Here is a 23541-nt window from a genome sequence, read left to right as displayed (position 1 = left end):
CTGTTTTCCAAAGTGGATACAATATTTTATGTTCCCACCTGCCATGTATAAAAGCTCTAATTTCTCCACTTCCTTGTCAACACTTGTTACTGTCAGTTTTATTTTTATTTTATTTTTTGAGATGGAGTCTTGCTCTGTCACCCAGGCTGGAGTGCAGTGGTGTGATCTCGGCTCACTGAAACCTCTGCCCCCTGGGTTCAAGCAATTCTCCTGCCTCAGCCTCCTTAGTAGCTGGGCTTACAGGCGTGTGCTACCATGCCTAGCTAATTTTTGTATTTTTTGTAGAGACGGGGTTTCAACATGTTGGCCAGGCTGGTCTTGAACTCCTGACCTCAAATGAACTGCCCGCCTTGGCCTCCCAAAAGTGCTAGGATTACAGGCATGAGCCATCGCGCCTGGTCTACTGTCAGTCTTTTATTATAGCTATCCTATTGAGTTTGAAATGGTATCGCATTGTGGTTTTGATATGCATTTCCCTAATAACTAATAATGTCGAGCATCTTTTTACATGCTTATTGGCCATTTGTGTATCTTCTTTGGTGATATGTCTATTCAATTCCTTTCTCCATTTGGGTATTTGTCTTTTATTACTGTCTTTTTATTACTGAGTTGTAACAGTTCTTTAAACATTCTGGATAAGTCCCTACTCAAATATATAATTTGCAGATAATTTTCTCCCATTCTGTGGGTTTTCTTTTTTCTTTTTTGAAGGGGTCTCACTCTGTTGCTCAGGCTGGAGTACAGTGGCACAATCTTGGCTCACTGCAACCTCCGCCTCCTAGGCTCAAGCAGTCCTCCCACCTCAGCCTCCCGAGTAGCTGGGACTACAGGTGCATGCCATCATGCCTGGCTCATTTTTGTATTTATTTTTTCTTTTTTTTAAATAGAGATGGAGTTTCGCCATGTTGCCCAGGTTGGTCTCCAAATCCTGAGCTCAAGCAATCCACCCACCTTGGTCTCTCAAAGTGTTGGGATTACAGGTGTGAACCACTGTGCCTGGCTTTTTTTTTTTTAATTTTTTGTAGAGATGGGGGTCTTATCATGTTGCTCAGGCTGGACTTGAACTCCTGGGCTCAAGTAATCCTCCCACCTCAGCCTCCCAAAGTGCTGGGACTACAGGCCTGAGCCAGTTTTCATTTCTCTTTTTTAAATTTTTTTTTCTTTGAGATGGAGTCTCACTCTGTTGCCCAGGCTAGAGTACAGTGGCATGATCTCAGCTCACCGCAACCTCCACCCCCCAGGTTGAAGCGATTCTCCCACCTCAGCCTCCCAAGTAGCTGGGATTACGGGTGCCTGCCACTGCGACTGGCTAACTTTTGTATTTTTAATAGAGATGGGGGTTTCACCATCTTGGCCAGGCTGGTCTTGAACTCCTGACCTTGTGATCCACCGGCCTCGGCCTTCCAAAGTGCTGGGATTACAGGCGTGAGCCACCGCGCCCAGTCTTTAAATTTTTTTTTTTTTTTTGAGACAGAGTCCTGCTCTGGTGCCCAGACTGGAGTGCAGTGGCACCATCTCGGCTCAATGCAACATTAGCTCCTGGGTTCAAGCAATTCTCCCGTCTCAGCCTCCCGATAGCTGGGATTGCAGGTGCCCGCCACCATTCCTGGCTAACTTTTATATTTTTAGTAGAGGCGGGGTTTCACCGTGTTGGCCAGGATGGTCTCAAACTCCTGACCTCAAGTGATCTGCCCACCTCGGCCTCCCAAAGTGCTGGGATTACAGACATGAGCCACCGTGCCCAGCAGTTTTCATTTCTTGATGGTGTCCTTTGGAACACAGAAGTTTTTAATTTTGACAAAGCTCAATTTACTTATTTCTCCTTTTGTTGCCTGTGCTTTTGGTGTTGTTATCTAAGAAACCATTGCCTAATTAAAGGTCATAAAAGTTTACTCCTATGTTTTCTTTTATGAGTTTTATAATTCTAGCTTCTGTATTTGGGTCTTGTGTTTTTTTATTGAGAACCACTAGTTGTATTCATACTTCATGCACACTCATTTTGAGAACCACTGGTTTGGGTCACATCTGTCTACAATGGCTAATCACTGTTTTTCCCAAAGACAATCCTCACCCTAAGATAAATTTTTAAGTCATCTGTTAGAATGATGTAAATAATATAACAGCTAAGTAACCTTTACTGAGCACTGGGTATGTGCTAAGCATTTTACATTGTATAACCTTGCTCAATATTCACTATGAGGTTAGTGTTACAATTACTTCCACTTTTTATGATGTAATACACTTCACTGTAAGATGATGCAACACATATATCTCCTTTTATGTAAAAGGGGATACAAAAACCCACATCTTTAAGAAGGAAGGCTGTGCAGACTAAATAAGCTCATGTGTGTTAAGCATATGGTACACTACTTGGCACACAGCAGGGGCTCAAAGGATGAGTGCCCCTCTAATTTCTTCATGATCCCCTCCCCCAAAGGAGACCCTACCCCTTTCACTGGTCCAGAAAGCTATCAGCCCCAGGGTTTATTTTTGCATTCTTTTAGAATCCCACTCCCATTTTTTTCTTTTTCTTTTTTCTTTTTTTTTGAGACAGTCTTGCTCTGTCGCCCAGGCTGGAGTGCAGTGGTGCAATCTCGGCTCACTGCAACCGCCGATCCTCGGGTCGAAGTGACTCTCCTGTCTCAGCCTCCCAAGTAGCTGGGATTACAGGTGCCCGCCACCTTGCCCAGCTAAATTTTTTGTATTTTTAGTAGAGACGGGGTTTCACCATGTTGGCCAGGCTGGTCTCGAACTCCTGACCTCAAGTGATCTGCCTGCCTCGGCCTCCCAAAGTGCTGAGATTACAGGTGTGAGCCACTGCGCCCGGCCATTTTTTTTCTTTTTTCTTTTTTTTTTTTTTTGAGGCAAGGTCTTGCTTTGTCGTACAGGCCTGAGAGCAGCGGCGTGATCTTGGCTCGCTGCAGCTTCAACCTCCCAGGCTCAAGTGATTCTCCCACCTCAGCCTTCCCAGTAGCTGAGACTACAGGCATGCGCCACCATGCCTGGGTAATTCTTATGTTTTCTGTAGAGACAGGTTTCACCATGTTGCCCAGGCTGGTCTCAAACTCCTGGGCTCAAGCAATCCTCCCGCCATGGCCTCTCAAAGTGCTGAGATTACAGGCGTGAGCCACTGCGCCTGGCCCACTCCCCCTTTTCTTTCTCTCATTAAGGTTTGTGATTTTTTTTTTTTTTTTTTGAGACGGAGTCTTGCTCTGTCGCCCAGGCTGGAGTTATGGTTTGTGATTTTACTTATGTTATTCTTTAACTATTTTATCTCTTCAACTGCTTTCCAAGTTACATAAGGGCAAAGGCAGATGGTGCCATTTTGTCACTGCAATATTCCCCAACACCCAATAGAGGGCTTGTGGGAATATAGAGATGTTTGAAAAATGTACACCTGTTCACATCATTTCTGGTTTAAAATTCTCCAATGGCATATGGATTGCACTTTGAATAAAGCCCAAATTCTCAAGCATGGCCAATAGGTCCCTACCTGATTGCCCCCCGTCTCTCCATCCACAGCTTCTTCTATTCTCTCCACTTGAGCCATACTTGTTTTCTTTCTGATCCTCAAACATACCTTGCTCTTTCCCCACTCAGTCCGTTCCTTCTGCTTGGAGGCTCTGATTAATTTCTCATCCTTTAGGTCTCAGCTCAAATATCACCTCTTTCTAGAGTCTTCCCTGATCACCTTGTCTAGTGTTACCACCCTTATTATTACACCAGCAGTTATTCTCAGTCATACACTGTTTCGTTTTCTTTCTTCTCTCTCTTTCTTTTTTTGAGACAGAGTCTGGCTCTGTCGCCCAGGCTGGAGTGCAATGGCGCTATCTTGGCTCGCTGTAGCCTCCGCCTCCCAGGTTCAAGTGATTCTCTTGCCTCAGCCTCCTGAGTAGCTGGGACTGCAGGCACAGGCCACCATGCCTGGCTAATTTTTGTAATTTTAATAGAGACGAGGTTTCACCATGTTGGGCAGGCTGGTTTCAAACTCCTGACCTCAAGTGATCCGGCTGCTTCGGCCTTCCAAAGTGCTGGGATTACAGGCGTGAGCCACTGCGTCCAGCCTGTTTCCTTTTCTTCACAAATATGAAATTTCCTTGCACATTTAATATTATTATTGCTAATATTTAAGCACTTACTATACATTAATTAATGAAGTGTGCTGCTTAATGCTTATCAATGGGCTCTCCAAACCCCAAACCCCTGATTTGTAGTGTTTGCTGATTCCTGTGGTGTAAACACTCGCATTGGGAGGGATTTTCAATCTATCAACCTGAGGAAACTGAACACCACCATTTGGGAAGAGAAAGAGATAGTATTTGCTGTACTGATACAGCGGTGGTAAATAATCTCAAAAGCACATATAAAAAAAAGTGTAGTAAAATAATTAGAAAGTGACGTGTTGAATATGTATTCCGTTGTTTTCAATATAAGTTATTTAACTGTAGGTTTATATGTCTTAATTTTCAAAAATGCCTGTGTTTAAAAGCGACTGGCAAAATTTCTAAGCCTTCCGGCCAGGCACGATGACACAAGCCTGTAATCCCAGCACTTTGGGAGGCCGAGGCAGGCAGGTGGATCGCCTGAAGTCTGGAGTTCGAGACCAGCCTGACCAACATAGAGAAACCCTGTCTCTACTAAAATTACAAAAAATTAGCCGGGCGTGATGGCGCATGCATGTAATCCCAGCTACTCGGGAGGCTGAGGCAGGAGAATCGCTTGAACCTGGGAGTCGGAGGTTGCAGTGAGCTGAGATCGCGCCATTGCACTCCAACCCGGGCAATAAGAGCGAAACTCCGTTTCCAAAACAAAAAAAAAATTTCTAAGCCTTCCTCAACTGTCCCTAGTTAGCCTATAATCAGCACATTTTTCAGCACACAAGGGTTAAGCGACTTGTTGAACTAGCTAATAAATCAGTCTACTACTCCAAAACGCATCTGTAGAACCTAACATAGTGCCTGGAAAATAGTTGGCGTTTAACAAACAACTGCCAGAATAAATTTTTTAAAAAATACACATTTAACACTCTTTAAAAACATAAAAGGTACCAGCCTGGGCAACATGGCGAAACCCCGTCTCTACTAAAAGTACAAAAACTTAGCCGGGTGTGGTGGCGCGCACCTGTGGTCCCAGCTACTCTGGAGCCCGGGAGGTCCAGGCTGCAGTGAGCTGAGATTGCGCCACTGCACTCCAGCCTGGGCGACGGCACTGAGACCCTGTCTCAAAAACAAAAAACATAAACATTTTGGGCAGGGTGCGGTGGCTCACGCCTGTAATCCCAGCATTTTGGGAAGCCGAGGCGGGCGGATCACCTGAGGTCAGGAGTTCGAGACCAACCTGGCCAACATGGTGAAACCCCATCTCTACTAAAAATACAAAAAAAAAAAAAAAAAAAAAATAGCCGCGCGTGGTGGTGGGCGCCTGTCATCCCAGCTACCCAGGAGGCGGAAGTTGCAGTGAGCCAAGATCGCGCCACTGCACTCCAGCCGGACGACAGAGCGAGACTCCGTCTCAAAAAAAATAAAAATAAAAATAAAAATAAACATTTTGGCATTGAAAACATACACGCAAGAGTGAATTTAACATCTGTTTAAAAGTCTCTCACAATCCCAGGAAGGCGACTACTTCCGCTTCTACTTTCAGCAGCGTTTCAGCCCCGCTATAGCGGCGCGGCTTCACAAAACACCTGCGATCGTAGAAGGTTTCGCCCCACCTTCTGCATACGCAGCTTGAGGCGCCCGCTTTCCGTCGCTCCGGCCCGCCTCGCCGCAAGGCTTTCTGGGAGCCGTAGTCCCCACGTCTGGCCTCTCCGGCGCCAGCGGCAGCGCGCGCCCACCCGCGGAACTACAGAGCGTGGCGCACAGCGCGCGAGGCTCCTCCGCCTCGCCTTCCCTCCCCGCCCGCGCGCCCGCCCCAGTTATCATGGCGGCTCCCTTGGTCCTGGTGCTGGTGGTGGCTGTGACAGTGCGGGCGGCCTTGTTCCGCTCCAGTCTGGCCGAGTTCATTTCCGAGCGGGTGGAGGTGGTGTCCCCACTGAGCTCTTGGAAGAGAGGTGAGGCCACTGGCTCGAGCAGACTGTCAGGCCCCACCTGCCCTCCCGCGGCCTCTGTGAATGGGAGGCGGGGGCAGTGACCGCCAGCGCGCGGTTCCTAGAGAACTAACTGACTGTCTCGTGGGGTTCTTGGAGAGGGCGGGGCCTGAGGGCGGGGCTGGTGAGGGGAGGGGGCGTGGGGACCGGGGCGTGGGGACAGTGTCGTGAGGTTTGGGCCCTGGGGGCCGGACCACCTAGTGGTGGGGATCTGAGGGGGCGTGTCCCATTCAGTGTCCTGAGCCGAGGAGTGTGGTCTGTGGGAAGGGTTGGAATAAGAGGAGGAGGTGCTTGTGGAGCGCGGCTTGCAGAGGAGTTTGGGATTTGGGGCGGGATCGCCAGGGGTGCTCCCTGGGATAAAAGGTTATGTGTGAGGGGGTCCGGGATGAGGGGACCAATTTTGCTTAAGCGAGGAGAGTGTGCGTGTGCTTTAGACGTCTCTTCTCAGTCTGGGACTTGCAGGGCAATTTTTGTTACTGTTCCTTACTAAGTTCTTCACCGAACATTGTTTTATACTAACGCCTACAGCGAGAAAGCGAAGTTGGCCTGAAGTAGCTGCACAGGCTAGTGAGGGAGACAAATCGTTATAATAATTCATGAAAAGTATACTTTATGTGTCCACCCAGTTCCTTCCTTAGTATTCTGACCCTGAATAAACTATCCCCTACCTTTCCAGTTTTCCAGAATGTGGGATTTGAGCTGACTCTTGAAGGATGTAGGGTTTTGAAAGGGAGATTAGAGAAAAGGAGAGTTCCAGGTAGCAGAAAGTAAATAGGATGAAGAAACGTTCAAGGATGTGAAATGTCCAAAGCAGGGGAGTAATGGGGTGGAAGCTAGGTTTAGGCCAGAGTTTGATGATTAAAAAAAAACAAACAACTTTTTTTTTTTTTTTTTTACTGAAGTACAGTATACATACAATGCATATTAAGTAAGTGTAGAGTTCAATGAATTTTTAAAAACTGTATTCACTCATGTAGCCAGCACCTAGTTCAAGAAACAGTATCAGCACCCCAGAAGTCCCCTTTGTGTCCTTTAAATGCTAAAGTTTTTTTGTTTTTGTTTTTGTTTTTTGTTTAGAGACAGGGTCTTTCTATGTTGCCCAGGCTGGTCTGGAACTCCTGGACTCAAGCAGTCTCACTTGGCCTCCCAAAGTGCTGGGATTTCAGGCGTGAGCCATGGCACCTGGCCAAGGCTAACGTTTTGATGTTATCCCATAGAATGTTGGTATGGGGAACGGCATAATGAATGGGTGTTTTATGAATAGAGTTAAGGTTTCTAAAAATGGTAACATATACCTTTTCTCATTTAGTCCTCACATTTATTTCTATGTGATAGATGGTGTTATTTTCCCCCTTTTACAGATGAGGGAACTGAAATTTAGAGAAGTTAATTTGCCCAGGTTTCCTAGTTGGGGAATGGTAATAAAGATAGTAATAATTCATGTCTGAGATTGTAAGAGCTTGGATTTGTTACCTCTGCGTATTATTTTTCTGTTGAAATGAATCGAAGCCATTTGGTTCCTGTTTTCTTCTGGATAACTGAAAACCTGAGGCAGTATTAGGCCCTTCTTCCTCTACACCCTACTAAGAGCATTTCTTATCTCATAATTACCTGTTTATATCCGGTTTTTCCACATTTTCTCTCTCTCTCTTTTTTTTTTTTTTTTTTTTTGAGATGGAGTTTCACTCTCATTGCCCTAGCTGGAGTGCAATGGTGCGATCTCGGCTCACCATAACCTCCGCCCCCTGGGTTCAAGCAATTCTTCTGCCTCAGCCTCCTGGGCAGCTGGGATTACAGGCATGCACCACCATGCCTGGCTAATTTTGTATTTTTAGTAGAGACAGGGGTTCTCCATGTTGGTCAGGCTGGTCTTGAACTCCCGACCTCAGGTGATCTGCCTTCCTCGGCCTCCCAAAGTGCTGGGATTACAGGTGTGAGCCGCCATGCCTGGCCTCTTTTTTTTTTTTTTTTTCTTCAAGAGACAGGGTCTCACTCTGACACTCAGGCTGGAGTGCAGTGATAATGGGTCACTGCAGCCTTGACCTCTCGGGCTCAGGACATCCTCCCTCCTCAGCCTCCCAAGTAGTTGGTAGCTGGGACTACAGGCATGTACCACCAACCCTACTTGTTATTATTATTATTTTTTTGTATTTTTTGTAGAGATGGGGTTTCACCATGTTGCTTAGGCTGGTCTCAAACTCCTGGGCTCAAGTGATCCGCCCATCTGGGTCTCTCAAAGTGCTGGGATTACAGGCATAAGCTACCACACCTGGCCTTTTCCACTATATTATGAGCTCCTTGAAGGATTCTGTTTTATTCATTCCTGAATTCTTTTATGTCTGGCATACAGTAGGTGTGTAGTTACTGTTGAATAAATGTGGAAGAGAAGAAAGCATAGGATCTGGTTACTTACAGGAGGTTACTTACAGGATGGACAGGTGAAGGATCCAAAGATGAGACAGTGTTGTTTGGTAATTAAGAGTGCAGGGTCTGGAATCTCAGAAAAGGTTTGACTCTTTCTCTAGTTCTGCAACTTATAAGCTGTATGAATTCTTTTTTTTTTTGAGACAGAATTTTGCTCTTGTTGCCCAGGCTGGAGTGCAATGGCGCGATCTCGGCTCACTGCAACCTCCGCCTCCCAGGTTCAGGCTGTTATCTCGTCTCAGCCTCTTGGGTAGCTGGGATTACAGGTGCCCGCCACCATGCCCAGCTAATTTTTGTATTTTTAGTAGAGATAAGTTTCACCATGTTGGCTAGTCTGGTCTTAAACTCCTGACCTCAGGTGAGCCGCCCGCCTTGACCTGTGAAAGTGCTGGGATTACAGGCATGAGCCACTGCGCCAAGCTTTTTTTGTTGTTGTTGTTTTTGAGATGGAGTCTCAGTCTGTTGCCCAGGCTGGAGTGTAGTGGCATGATCTTGGCTCACTGCAACCTCTGCCTCCCAGGTTCAAGCGATTCTTCTGCCTCAGCCTCCCAAGTAGCTGGGACTACAGGCACATGCCACCATGCCTGGCTAATTTTTGTATTTTTAGTAGACACGAGGTTTCACCATATTAGCCAGGCTGGTCTTGATCTCCTGACCTCGTGATCCGCCCGCCTTGGCCTCCCAAAGTGCTGGGATTACAGGCGTGAGCCACCACGCCCGGCCAAGCTGTATGAATTCTAACGTCAGTGTTTCCATCTGTAAAATAGGAAATTATGTATCCTGTTCAACGAGATAATCCATGTTGAAGCTCAACACAATAATGAAAGCCAAAAAGGTGAATTCTAAGGTTTTGAGTTGAGATATTAGGAAAAATAGTGCTGACATGGGCTGAAATAGATGAATCAGAAAGGACATAGTAGTGTTTCATGTGTGTATAATGTGATAGTACAATACTGACAGGTTTAGGTCTGGAGCTTGAGGCCAGTGTCAGGACTAGAAAGAGAGAGAGATTTGTTAACCACCCATCATCTGGATCTGACTAAATCAGCATGATTATTTGTATCATTTGGGAGGGAAGGTACAACATCTGTAAGCATTACTTTTCTTCAAAGGGTACCTTAAATGGGATATTTTTTAAAGCAGCTGATTATATAAACCCTAAAAGGCAGGAATTTAAAAATAGTAAAGTAGGACTCCTTCTGGTTTCACATGACATTTTACATTTTTTTTTTTTTTTTTTTTGAGACGGAGTCTCACTCTGTCACCCAGGCTGGAGTGCAGTGGTGCAATCTCAGCTCACTGCAAGCTCCGCCTCCCGGGTTTACGCCATTCTCCTGCCTCAGCCTCCCGAGTAGCTGGGACTACAGGCACCCGCCACCACACCCGGTTAATTTTTTGTATTTTTAGTAGAGACGGGGTTTCACCATGTTAGCCAGGATGGTCTCGATCTCCTGACCTCGTGATCCACCCGCCTCGGCCTTCCAAAGTGCTGGGATGACAGGCGTGAGCCACCACGCCGGGCTGACATTTTAAATTTTTGAATGATCAGTTCTTTGGGTAAAGGGGCCCTGGATCCAAATCCAAATAGATTTTGATTGGCTATAGTATGGACTGATTTTTTTTTTTTTTTTTTTTTTTTGAGAGACAGGGTCCCACTCTGTCTCCCAGGCTGGAGTGCAGCGGCATGATCATAATTCTCTGCAGCCTCATCCTTCTGGGCTCAAGAGATCCTCTTGACTCAGCCTCCCAAACAGCTGGGATTGGTGCATGCTCCCACACTTTGCTAATTGTTTTTTATTGTTTTTTGTAGAGATGGGGTCTCAATATATTGCCTAGGCTGGTCTTAAGCTCCTGGCCTCAAGCGATCCTTCTGCCTTGGCCTCCCAAAGTGCTGGGATTATAGGCATGAGCCACCATGCCTGACCTCTTTTTTTTTGAATAAGTGCAACGAAAGCTCTGGAATTAAGTCACATTGAACTGATTTGGGTCATATACCAATTCTTCGGTCAATTACTGTAGTCTGCCTGGGTCATGTATCTACCTCTTTGGAAAGGAGGCAGTCTCACCCAAAATGTACACAAGGGGGGTATCCCATAGGAAAAATTAGGGTGCTGTTACCAAAAGAAGGGAAGATTGATGTTGGGCAGGCACAAATAACATATCCATTTCAACAGGAAAAATATCTTTTCTGTTACCTATTTCTACAAATCCATCGGTTTATTTGATAGTGTAACTAAAATACATATAAATTTCCAGGCCGGGTTTTGTGGCTCATGCCTGTAATCCCAGCACTTTGGGAGGCCGAGGCGGGAGGATCACTTGAGCCCAGGAGTTTGAGACCAGCCTGGGCAACATGGCAAAACTCTGTCTCTACAAAAAAATACAAAAATTAGCTGGACATGTTTGGCCCATACCTGTAGTCTCAGCTACTCGGGACGCTAAGGCAGGAGGATTGCATGGGCCCGGGAGGCAGAGGTGGAGGGTGCAGTGAGCCGAGATCGTGCCACTGCATTCCATCCTAGGTGACAGAGTGAGACTCTGCCTTATAAAAAAAGAAAATTTTTTTTTTTTTGAGAAGGAGTTTCACTCTTGTTGCCCTGGCTGGAGTGCAATGGCACAATCTCAGCTCACTGAAACCTCTGCCTCTCAGGTTCAAACGATTCATTCTCCTGTCTTAGCCTCCTGAGTAGCTGAGATTACAGGCATGAGCCACCACACCTGGCTAATTTTGTGTTTTTAGTAGAGATGGGGTTTCACCATGTTAGTCAGTCTGGTCTCAAACTCCTGATCTCAGGTGATCCACCTGCCTTGGCCTCCCAAAGTGGTGGATTACAGGTGTGAGCCACTGCGCCCGGCCAAGAAATAAATTTTTAAGGAATGAATTTCCTGTTTGACAAAAGCAGGAGCTTCTAAAAAATTAATAAGAAATTAACAGGCTGGGCACGGTGGCTAACGCCTGTAATCCCAGCACTTGGGAGGCCGAGGTGGGTGGATCACCTGAGGTCAGGAGTTCGGGACTAGCCTGACCGACATGGAGAAACCCTGTCTCTACTAAAAAAATACAAAATTAGCCGGACGTGGTGGTGCATGACTGTAATCCCAGCTACTTGGGAGGTTGAGGCAGGAGAATCACTTGAACCCGGGGGGCAGAGGTTGCGGTGAGCCGAGATCGCGCCATTGCACTCCAGCCTGGGCAACGAGCAAAACTCCGTCTCAAAAAAAAAGGAAGAAGAAAAGAAAGAAATTAACAATGATATGATGCTTTTTACATGCCTGGTATTGTTCTAAGCACTTTAGGTGTGTTAATGCACTAATTTGATCTCTAAAATGGCAAACTGTTATCAACCCCATTTTATAAATGAGAAAATTGAGGCATGGAGAGATTAAGTCATTTGCCCAAGGTGACCTCGCTAATAATATTTTGTATGAAGAGCTAGCAATCTTTAGGTATGGCTGTTCCACCAGTATCATCTTGTTTAGATATCTGTCAGGAATAATGTTAGAAACTTTCTGCCATGTTTTAGTCTTTCCTGAGGCTTTCACCCAAAGATTGACAGTTCGTATAGGCTTAGCTTTTTGAGTTCAGGGTAGAGCCCAAGCTATTAGTACTTATCTAGAAACCCACCCCTACTACAGCTATGAGAATCAGGGTTGCTGGGCATGGTGGCTCAAGCCTGTAATCCCAGCACTTTGGCAGGCTGAGGTGGGCAGATCACTTGAGCTTAGGAGTTTGAGACCAGCCTGGATAACATGGTGAAACCCCACCTCTACAAAAAAGAAATACAAAAATTAGGTGGGTATGGTGGCGTGTGCCTGTAGTCCCAGCTACCTGGGAGACTGAGGTGGGAGGGTGGCTTGAGCCCAGGAGGTGGAGGCTGCAGTGAGCCAAGATTGCACCACTGCACTCCAGCCTGGGCGACAGAACAAGACCTTGTCTCAAAAATAAAAGAATCAGGGTCAGGAAGAGCACTTCTGATACCACTACTTAAAAAAGCCTTTATGGCCAGGCGAGGTGGCTCACACCTGTAATCCCAGCACTTTGGGAGGCTAAGGTGGGAGGTGGGTAGATTGCTTGAGCTTGAGTTCGAGACCGGCCTAGGCAACATGGTGAAACCTTGTCTCTACTAAAAATACAAAAATTAGCTGGGTGTGGTGGCAGGAGCCTGTAGTCCCAGCTACTCAGGAGGCTGAGGCAGGAGAATCACTTGAACTCAGGAGGTGGAGGTTGCAGTGAGCTGAGATCATGCCACTGCACTCCAGCCTGGGCAATAGAGCAAGACTTTGTCTCAAAAAAAAAAAAAAAGCCGTTATTACAAAATTAAACAGAATTTGTAAGACACACATAACAATGTATTCTATGGTGAATTATTGTAAGGTGAACATTTTTGTAACTGTCATCCAAGTCAAGAATCAGAACTTTGCCACTCACTTCAGAAGCCCCCCTTCGTCACAATCCCCTCACTCTTTTCATAAGTAACTATTATCCTGACTTTTATATGTAATGACATCTTTGTATTTTTAAAAGTTTTATTACTCAAATGAACATCCCTAGTTCATTTGCCGTTAGGCTTAGTCTTGCCCCTAAGAAAAAAGTTTTTGTTTGTGTTTTCAATCTCTCTTAATTTTTAGGGTCCCAGGTTCCCTTTCTCTTCCATAGTGTTTATCTATTGAAGAATCCAGACAGATCTCCCATAGTTTGAATTTTCCTGATTATATATCATGATACAATTTAACATGTTCCTCTATCATCTCTATTTCCTGCAAATAGGCAGCTGGATCCAGAGACTAGATACCACTGTTTTTTGTTTTTTACTTTTTTTTTTTTTTTTCAGCCAGAGTCTCACTCTGTTGCCCAGGCTGGAGTGCAGTGGTGTGATCTTGGCCTACTGCAACCTCCACCTCCTGGGTTCAAGCAATTCTCTTGCCTCAGCCTCCTGAGTAGCTGGGATTACAGGTGTGTGCCACCACACCCAGCTAATTTTTGTATTTTTGGTAGAGATAGGGTTTCACCATGTTGGTCAGGCTGGTCTTGAATTCCTGACCTCAAGTGATCTACCTGCCTCTGCCTCCCAAAGTGCTGGGATTACAGGCATGAGTCACTGCACCAGCCTGTTTTTTAGCTTTTTACTTGAAATCATTTTAAACTTACAGAATACTTGCAAAAATATTGCAGAGAGATCTGTATACCCTTCACCCAGCTTCCCCCAATGTTAATATCCTACATAGTCATAGTACAGTGATCAAAACTAAGATGATAGCATTGGTACAATACTATTAACTAAACCATAGTTGTTAAGATTTTACCATTTTTGCTGGGCACAGTGGCTATGCCTATAATCTCAGCACTTTGGGAGGCTGAGGCGAGGGGATGCCTTGAGCTCTGGAATTTATGACCAGTCTGGGCAACATAGGGAGACTCCCTCTCTACATAAAATTAAAAAAGAGTTAGCTGGTTTGGTGGCGCACACCTGTGGTCCCAGCTACTTGGGAAGCTGAAGTGGGAGGATTGCTTGAGCCTGGGATGAGGAAGCTGCATTGAGCTATGATCATGCCACTGCACTGTATGTAGCCTGGCACCAGAGCAAGACCCTGTGTAAAAAAAAAAAAAAAAAAAAAAAAAAAAAAAAAGTTTTACCATTTTTTCACTAATTTTTTTTCTGTTCTATGATCTAATATTCCATATTGCATTTTTATTTTTATTTTATTTATTTATTTATTTATTTTTTTGAGTCAGAGTCTCGCTCTGTCACCCAGGCTGGAGTGCAGTGACACGATCTTGGTTCACTGCAAGCTCCGCCTTCCGGTTTCATGCCATTCTCCTGCCTCAGCCTCCCGAGTAGCTGGGACTACAGGTGCCCGCCACCTCGCCTGGCTAATTTCTTATATTTTTAGTAGAGATGGGATTTCACCATGTTAGCCAGGATGGTTTCGATCTCCTGACCTCATGATTTGCCCACTTCAGCCTCCAAAGTGCTGGGATTACGGGTGTGAGCCAGCACGCCCGCCCCCCCCTTTTTTTTTTTTTTTTTTTTTTGAGACGGAGTCTCGCTCTGTCACCCAGGCTGGAGTGCAGTGGCGAGATCTCGGCTCACTGCAACCTCCACCTCCCAGATTCAGGAGATTCTCCTGCCTTAGCCTCCCGAGTAGCTGGGATTATAGGTCCCTGCCACCATGCCAGCTAATCTTTGTATTTTTAGTGGATACGGGGTTTCACCATGCTGGCCAGGCTGGTATCGAATTCCTGACCTCAGGTGATCCACCTGCCTCGACCTCCCAAAATGCTGTGATTACAGGCATGAGCCACCGCGCCTGGCCACATATTGCGTTTAGTTGTTATATCTCCTTAGTCGTTTATCTGTGATAGTTCCTTAGCATTTCCTCATCTTTTATGACCTTGACACTTTGAAGAGCTCTGGTCAGGTATTTTGTAGAATGTCCCTCAATTTGGTTTTGTCTAATGTTTTCTTGTGGTTTGACGGAGGTAATGGATTTTGGGGAAGAATACCCCTGAGATGATATGGTCCTCTCAGTGCATTGGATCAGGGGTGCATATTGAAATGCCCTAATACTGGTGATGTCAGCCATAATCCCTTGGTTAATGTAGTGTCTGCCAGATTTCTCCACCATAAAGTGACTGTTTCCCTTTGTAATTAATCAGCATTTTAGGGGCTATTCTTTGGAGCTCTGCAAATATCCTGTTTTTAAATTTTTGCCTACTAATTTTTGCATTCATAGGTTAATCTTGCCTGTAACAGTCATTACTCAGGTGTTTCAATGGTGACTTTTCTGTTTCTCTCATTCATTTTTATTTAATAATTAAAATTCTTCTGTAAGGAAGAGTTGTCATTTCTTTGCATTTATTTAACTATTTATGTCAGTATAGATTTGGATATTTTATACTCTGGACTCTGTATACTATATTCATTCTGTTGTTTGGATTATTCTAGTTTTGGCCATTGGGACCGCTTTCATCTTGACCCCTTTGTCCTTTTGCCATACCTCTATCTCACTTTTTTTTTTTAAAAGCACTTTATTACATTCTAGAACTATAAGATGATCCAGGTTTATCTTGCTTAGTTCAGCCCTGGAATTGACCACTTCTTCAAGGGCCCTGGCTCCTTTTATTAGAGAATGTTATTTAGAAACAAAGTTCTGAATGCTAGGTGTGTTCATTGCAGCTGGAGTGATGCTGCTTCTTAGGCCCTCAGCTAGAAGTATAGGGACACTACTGCTTTTGAACAAGCTTTTGTCCTTATTGATACGGGAAACTGAAAAATAATATTTGTCTTATACAGGATGATATGCTTTTATTATCACCCATAGGAAAAGTATACCAAGGTAACTAAGAATTATTGGCCAGGCATAGTGGCTCATGCCTGTAATCTTAGCACTTTGGGAGGCCAGGGTGGGTAGATCGCTTGAGGCCGGGAGTTTGAGACCAGCCTGAGCAACATAGCAGGACCCCATCTCTACAAAAAATAAGAATTAGTCAGGTGCTGGCTGGGCGCGGTGGCTCACGCCTGTAATCCCAGCACTTTGGGAGGCCGAGGCGGGTGGATCACGAGGTCAGGAGATCGAGACCATCCTGGCTAATACGGTGAAACCTCGTCTCTACTAAAAATACAAAAAAAATTAGCCTGGCGTGGTGGCAGGCGCCTGGAGTCCCAGCTACTCGGGAGGCTGAGGCAGGAGAATGGCGTCAACCCGGGAGGTGGAGTTTGCAGTGAGCCGAGATCGCGCCACTGCACTCCAGCCTGGGTGACAGAGCGAGACTCTGTCTCAAAAAAAAAAAAAAAAAAAAAAAAAAAGAATTAGTCAGGTGCAGTGGTGCACTCCAGTAGTCCCAGCTACGTGGGAGGCTGAGCTTGAGCCCGGGAGGTTAAGGCTGCAGTGAGCTGATTGTGCCACTGCATTCCAGCCTGGGCAAAAGATTAAGGCCCCTGTCTCTAAAAATAAATAAATAAATAAATTAATTAATTAAATAAGCTTGCTTCATGGGTTAGTTATCAGTTAAGAGTTGAGAGTCTTTATCAAAAAAAAAAAAACTTACATTTTACAATAGTTGGCCATAATTATTTAGCTCTTATATTAGTTGTTAGATAATAGTCCCATGAAGTGAGAAATGTTACTTGGATGCTCTGGTGTATTTTCACAGGTTTTATTTTTGGAGGATACTCCAGGAAAAAGAAAGGCATAAAGTTGAGTTCTATGGGTATCTTTATTGTCTTTTTGTTTTTTCCCCCTAATAGGCACTTTGTGAAACTGACTTTAAAGTGTTTTCAGCATGATATTACTGGAACTTTTTTTTTTGAGATGGAGTCTTGTTCTATCGCCCGGGCTGGAGTACAGTGGCACGATCTTGGCTCACTACAACCTCCGCATTCTGGGTTCAAGCAGTTCTCCTGTCTCAGCTTCCCGAGGAGCTGAGACTACAAGTGCATGCCACCATGCCTGGCTAATTTTTATATTCTTAGTAGAGACGGGGTTTCACCATATTGGTCAGGCTGGTCTTGAACTCCTGACCTCAGGTGATCCACCCACTTCGGCCTCCCAACGTATTGAGATTACAATGCTCAGCCTATTGGAACATTTTTATATATATTAGAATTTGACAGCCCTGATTATTCTTTTCTATGGAGAGTAGATTCACTATTTTAAAGAGGATGTTGGTACTCTTGTACCAGTATGTTTTATGTGCCTTAGATGTACATAGATGAAACATCTATGTACCTTAGATGTTTCCAAATGCACTGCAGACCAGGTCACAGTTTTTAATCGTGTGCACCAAAATTAGAAAAGTAAGGATAGTAATAAGTTTATCATTAAAACTAAATGTATTCCATTAAAAATATTCTGGGCCAGGCGTGGTGGCTCCCGCCTGTAATCCCAGCACTTTGGGAGGCTGAGGCGGGCAGATCATGAAGTCAGGAGTGTGAGATCAGCCTGGCCAACATGGTAAAACCCCGCCTCTACTAAAAATACAAAAAAAATTGGGCCGGGCGCGGTGGCTCACGCCTGTAATCCCAGCACTTTGGGAGGCCGAGGCGGGCGGATCACGAGGTCAGGAGATCGAGACCATCCTGGCTAACAAGGTGAAACCCCGTCTCTACTAAAAATACAAAAAATTAGCCGGGCGTGGTAGCGGGCGCCTGTAGTCCCAGCTACTCGGGAGGCTGAGGCAGGAGAATGGCGTGAACCCGGGAGGCGGAGCTTGCAGTGAGCCGAGATCGCGCCACTGCACTCCAGCCTGGGCGACAGAGCGAGACTCAGTCTCAAAAAAAAAAAAAAAAAAAAAAAAAAAAATTGGCCATACATGGTGGTGTGCATCTGTAATCCCAGCTACTCAGGAGGCTGAGGCAGGAGAATTGCTTGAACCCGGGAGGTGAAGGTTGCAGTGAGCCAAGATCATGCCACTGCACTCTAGCGTGGGCGACAGAGTGTGAGACTGTCTCAAAAACAAACAAACAAAAAATATTCTGAGTTTATGTTCTTCCTATACTTTTTTTTTCTTTTTTTGAGACGGGGTCTGGCTCTGTCGCCCAGGCTGGAGTGCAGTGGCACAATCACAGCTTACTGCAGCCTTGAACTCTTGGGCTCAGGTAATCCTCCCACCTCAGCCTGCTGAGTAGCTGCACTCTCCACCATGCCTGGCTAATTTTTTGTATTTTTGGTAGAGACAGGGTTTCACCATGTTTCCAGGCCAGTCTCGAATTCCTGAGCTCAAGCGATATACCCTCCTTGGCCTCTCAAAGTGCTGGGATTACAGGCGTGAGCCACCATGCCCAGCCATATACTTTTTTTTGTTGGTTTTTTATTTTTTATGCTTTGAGACGGAGTTTTACTTTTGTTGCCCAGGCTGGAATGCAATGGCACAATCTTGTCTCACTGCAACCTCCACCTCCCAGGTTCAAGCGATTCTTCTACCTTAGCCTCCCAAATAGGCTAATTTTTGTATTTTTAGTAAAGACAGGGTTTCACCATGTTGGCCAGGCTGGTCTTGAGTGCTTGACCTCAGGTGATCCACCCGCCTGGGCCTCCCAAAGTGCTGGGATTACAGGCGTGAGCCACTGTGCCCGGTCAACTGTTTAATATTGTAGTAAATGGTAGGGTTTTTAAAAATGTTTTTACCAGCCTGGGCAATATAGCAAGAGCCCGTTTCTACAAAAAAAATTTAAAAATTAGCTGGGTGTGGTGGCATGCACCTATAGTCCCAGCTACTTGGGAGGCTGGGGTGGGAGGATCACTTGAGCCTGGAAGGTTGAGGCTGCGATGAGCTATGATCAAGCCATTACACTCCGGCCCGGGCAACAGAGTGAGTCTCAAAAAAGAAAGACAAAAAAATGTTTTACATGTTTTACATAGTCTGACCCTTTGCCCAGATCAGTTATCAATTAAGTAATATGATGCCATATTTAATCATCAATATAGCAGAGCCACACTCCAGGCATTTGCCAGAGAATACACTAACAAATCCACTGATATACAGTATCTAGCAAAAGCATATCTGAGATGAATTACATTTTAGGCAATTGCCTAAAAGTTGTGCAGTCTGTCCTCAAGCTGTGTCTCAAAAATTTCCATCTGGATTAAACCAGACAAGTGGAGAGTGATGTGCCTGGACGGCCGCATACTGGTGCCCTGTAGAGTTGCTTTTTTACTGCTCTGTGGTAGGATGCCATTGGCTAAGATTGAGAAATGCCTTGTGATTTGACCTGATGAATTATCTCCTTGGGTCTCCAGTAAAGCTGTTAGTGAAGGATTTAATAGCTATTACGCAGCAACCTCTTTATGCAGCTCCTTGAGATTTCCTTTTGGTTGCAGTATAAGGACCAGTTACAACGGTCTTGAGCAATATGCTTTGTTTTATTTTATGGCCACCATGAATTATAAAATTGATTATAGGACTACCCTACCTTCTTTAGGGTAGTCTTATAAAGTTTAAAGTCATAATTATAGCCCACTCCTTACAAATATGTAGTGGTCTTTTTTCTTTTCTTTTCTTTCTGTTTTTGTTTATTTGATACAGGGTTTCCCTCTGTCACCCAGGCTGGAGTGCAGTAGCATGATCATGACTCGCTGCAGCTTTGACCTCCTGGGCTCAATTGATCTTCCCACTTCAGCCTCCCAAGTAGCTGGGACCACAGGCACACATCACCATGCCCCAGCTAATTTTTGTTTTTTTATAGAGACAGGGTCTCCTTATGTTGCCCAGGCTGATCTTGAACTCCTTGAATCCCTGCCTACCTATTTTTTAATAGGTAACTCAGTCACATGATTCAAAAATAAAAAGTAGCTAGGTGCAGTGGCTCACGCCTGTAATCCCACCACTTTGGGAGGTCAAGGTGGGAAGATGGCTTGAGCCCAGGAGTTCAAGACCAGCCTGCGCAACATGGCAAGACACTGTCTCTACCAAAAAAAAATTTAGCTGGGTGTAGTGGCATTGGCCTGTGTTCTCAGCTACTTGGGAGGCTGAGGTGGGATGATCGCTTGTGCCCAGGAGGTTGAGGCTGCAGTGAGCCACGTTTGTAATTCCTGTACTCCAGTCTGGATGACAGAGCGAGACCCTGTCTCCAAAACAAAAACAAAAACTACTTCTTTTGAATAATTGTAAAATAATACATCCTCATTGCTAAAGATTCATAAAATGAAGATGAAAAAAATCAAGCATCTTCTGTAATCTTATCACCTAGAAATGGTCATTGTGAACATTTAAATATTTATTTTTCCAGGCATTTCTCATTGAGTACATGTTCATTCTCTCTCTTTCAAATAATTAAATGAATGCTTATAAAAGTTTAAGATAAAACTCTACAAACAAACCTATTTAAAAATGTGCAATTTTGAAAAGCTGAGGCAGGCAGATCCCTTGAGGTCAGGAGTTCAAGACTAGCCTGGCCAACATAGTAAAACCCCGACTCCACTAAAAATACAAAAATTAGGTGGTCTGGTGGCAGGCACCTGTAATCCTAGCTACTGGGTGGCTGAGGCAGGAGAATTGCTTGAACCCAGGAGGCAGAGGTTGCAGTGAGCCAAGATCAAGCCACTGCATTCCAGCCTGGGTGACAGACCGAGACTCTGTCTCAAAAAAAAAAAAAAAAAGGCAAAGGGCTGGGCATGGTGGCTCATACCTGTAATTCCAGCACCACTGTAATTCCAGCACTTTGGGAGGCTGAGGCAGGAAGATTGCTTGAGCCCAGGAGTTTGAGACCAGCCTGAGTAACATGGTGAAACCCCATCTCTACAAAAAATACAAAAATTAGCCAGGCATGGTGATGCACACCTGAAGTCCCAACTGCTCGAGAGGCTGAGGTGGGAGGATCGATTGAGCCTGAGAGGTCAAGGCTGCAGTGAGCCCTGATCATGCCACTGTACTTCAACCTGGGCAATAGAGCGAGAACCTGTCTTGGAAAAACAGTTGGCGGGGGGGCACAGGACATGAACAGACACATCTCAAAAGAAGACATGCATGTGGCCAACAAGCATATGAAAAAATGCTCAACATAATTAGTCATTAGAGAAATGCAAATCAAAACCACAATGAGATACTATCTCAAAACCACAATGAGATACTATCTCATACCAGTCAGAATGACCATTATTAAAAAGTCAAAAAATAATAGATGCTGGCAAGGTTGTGGAGAAAAGGAAACACTTATACACGACTGGTGGGAATATAAATTAATTCAGCCACCGTGGAAAGCAGTTTGAAGATTTCTCAAAGATCCTAAAACAGAACTGCCATTCGACCCATCAATCCCATTACTAGGTATATACCTAAAGGAATAGAAATTGTTCTGCCCTAAAGATGCATGCATGTGTATGTTCATCACAGCAGTATTCACAATAGCAAAGACATGGAATTAACCTGAATGCCCATCAGTGGTGGACTGGATAAAGAAAATGTACATATACACCATGGAACACTATGCAGCATTAAAAAAAAAAAAAGAATGAGCTCATGTCCTTTGCACCAACATGGATGGAGCTGGAGACATTATCCTAAGCAAATTAATGCAAGAACAGAAAACCAAATACAGCATATTCTCACTTATAAGTGGAAGCTAAACACTGAGTACACATGGACACAAAGAAAGTAGCAGTAGATACCTGGGCCTACTTGAGGGTGGAGGGTGGGAGGAGGGTGAAGATGGAAAAGCTACCTGTCGGGTACTGTGCTTATTACCTGGGTGATGAGATTATCTGCACTCCAAACCTCTATGACATGCAATTTACCCATGTAACAAACCTGGACATGTACCCCCTCAACCCCCAGAAAATTTGCAAAGGAAAATAAGTAAAAGCCAAGAGAAATTGCTAAAATAGTCATTTAAAAAAATCACCAAAAAAACCTATTATATTTTATATGCTGTCTTTTGACCTACTTTTCATTTAAGAATATTTTATGGGCTGCTTTTCTTCATTAAATATAGATCTCTAGTGTACTTTTTAATTTTAACTCTTAATTTTAAAATAATTTTAGATTTTCAAAAAAGTTACAAGAGTTCCTGTTTACCTTTCATTCACCTTTTTCTAATGTTAACATTCTACATCACCATAGTGCAATGACCTAAACCAGAAAATTAACATTGATACAATGCTATTAACTAATTACAGGCCTTATTAGAATTTTATCAATTTGCCCCACTAATGTCCATTTCTAGTCCAATATCCAACCTGTGATTCCACTTTGCACTTAGTTGTTTTGTCGCCTTAGTCTCTTATAATCTGGGATACTTCCTCAGACTTAACATTTACAATTTTTTAAATTTAATTTTTATGGATACCTAGTAGTTGTACATAGGCTTAATATTTTTAAGAGTACTTGCCAGTTATTTTATGTCTCCATTTGGGTCTGCCTGATGTCTTCTCACAGTTAGACTGAGGTTATGCTTTTTTGTTTGTTTGCTTTTTGAGAAGGAGTTTCACTCTGTTGCCCAGGCTGGAGTGCAGTGGCACAATCTTGGCTCATTGCAACCTCCGCCTCCCAGGTTCAAGCGATTCTCCTGCCTCACTCTCCCAAGTAGCTGGGATTACAGGTGCGCGCCACCATGCCTGGCTAATTTTTGTATTTTTAATGGAGACAGGGTTTTGCCATGTTGGCCAGGCTGGTCTTGAACGCCTGACCTCAGGTGATCCACCTGCCTTGGCCTCCCAAAGTGCTGGGATTACAGGCATGAACCACCGCCCATGTAAAATTTTATTTTTCCCCTTGCAAATATTCTGTTTCTCATATTTTTGCCCACTAATTTTAGCATCCATTGATGATTCTTGCCTTTTGTGATTATTACTATGGATGGAGTACGCCAAGTGGTGATTTTCTATTTCTTTGTTCCTTCTACATTTGATCCTTAGAATTCTCTGTAGGGAAAAGCTCTCCTTTCTCTTCCACTTATTTATTTATTATTTATTTATTTTTTAAAGCTGTTCTTTTTTTTTTTTTTTTTTTTATTGATCATTCTTGGGTGTTTCTCGCAGAGGGGGATTTGGCAGGGTCATAGGACAATAGTGGAGGGAAGGTCAGCAGATAAACAAGTGAACAAAGGTCTCTGGTTTTCCTAGGCAGAGGACCCTGCAGCCTTCCGCAGTGTTTGTGTCCCTGGGTACTTGAGATTAGGGAGTGGTGATGACTCTTAACAAGCATGCTGCCTTCAAGCATCTGTTTAACAAAGCACATCTTGCACCGCCCTTAATCCATTTAACCCTGAGTGGACACAGCACATGTTTCAGAGAGCATGGGGTTGGGGGTAAGGTCACAGATCAACAGGATCCCAAGGCAGAATAATTTTTCTTAGTACAGAACAAAATGAAAAGTCTCCCATGTCTACTTCTTTCTATACAGACACGGCCACCATCCGATTTCTCAATCTTTTCCCCACCTTTCCCCCCTTTCTATTCCACAAAACCGCCATTGTCATCCTGGCCCGTTCTCAATGAGCTGTTGGGTACACCTCCAAGACTGGGTGGTGGCTGGGCAGAGGGGCTCCTCACTTCCCAGTAGGGGCAGCCGGGCAGAGGCGCCCCTCACCTCC

The 23541-nt window shown here is 44.6% G+C and overlaps 1 protein-coding gene across 2 annotated transcripts in view, besides 4 other annotated features; it reads left to right on the top strand.

Annotated features, from left to right (window-relative positions):
- Window positions 4676-5561: an enhancer, noted in NCBI's record as "H3K27ac-H3K4me1 hESC enhancer chr20:33265251-33266136 (GRCh37/hg19 assembly coordinates)". NCBI's record gives its function as "activates a minimal SCP1, AML or CMV promoter by ChIP-STARR-seq in naive H9 embryonic stem cells {active_cell/tissue: H9 hESC(naive)}" and the evidence as "EXISTENCE:reporter gene assay evidence [ECO:0000049][PMID:30033119]".
- Window positions 5562-6448: an enhancer, noted in NCBI's record as "H3K27ac-H3K4me1 hESC enhancer chr20:33264364-33265250 (GRCh37/hg19 assembly coordinates)". NCBI's record gives its function as "activates a minimal SCP1, AML or CMV promoter by ChIP-STARR-seq in primed H9 embryonic stem cells {active_cell/tissue: H9 hESC(primed)}" and the evidence as "EXISTENCE:reporter gene assay evidence [ECO:0000049][PMID:30033119]".
- Window positions 5847-5956: a silencer, noted in NCBI's record as "silent region_12842". NCBI's record gives its function as "represses an Ori minimal core promoter by ATAC-STARR-seq in GM12878 lymphoblastoid cells {active_cell/tissue: GM12878}" and the evidence as "EXISTENCE:reporter gene assay evidence [ECO:0000049][PMID:35858748]".
- The window catches only part of PIGU (phosphatidylinositol glycan anchor biosynthesis class U), a 116551-nt gene continuing 98925 nt past the window's right edge, over window positions 5916-23541 (top strand). For both annotated transcript variants that reach the window (XM_017027664.2, NM_080476.5), the window contains exon 1: window positions 5916-6052. In XM_017027664.2, coding sequence (XP_016883153.1) covers window positions 5923-6052 — 130 coding nt within the window. In that variant the 5' untranslated portion in view covers window positions 5916-5922. The remainder of the gene's footprint in view (window positions 6053-23541) is intronic.
- Window positions 6197-6296: a silencer, noted in NCBI's record as "silent region_12841". NCBI's record gives its function as "represses an Ori minimal core promoter by ATAC-STARR-seq in GM12878 lymphoblastoid cells {active_cell/tissue: GM12878}" and the evidence as "EXISTENCE:reporter gene assay evidence [ECO:0000049][PMID:35858748]".

This window comes from Homo sapiens, chromosome 20 (genome assembly GCF_000001405.40).
Source record: "Homo sapiens chromosome 20, GRCh38.p14 Primary Assembly".
In the NCBI taxonomy this organism is placed as follows: Eukaryota; Metazoa; Chordata; class Mammalia; order Primates; family Hominidae; genus Homo; species Homo sapiens.
Note: the sequence above shows the minus strand (reverse complement) of the source record. Positions and strands in the feature narration are given on the sequence as shown.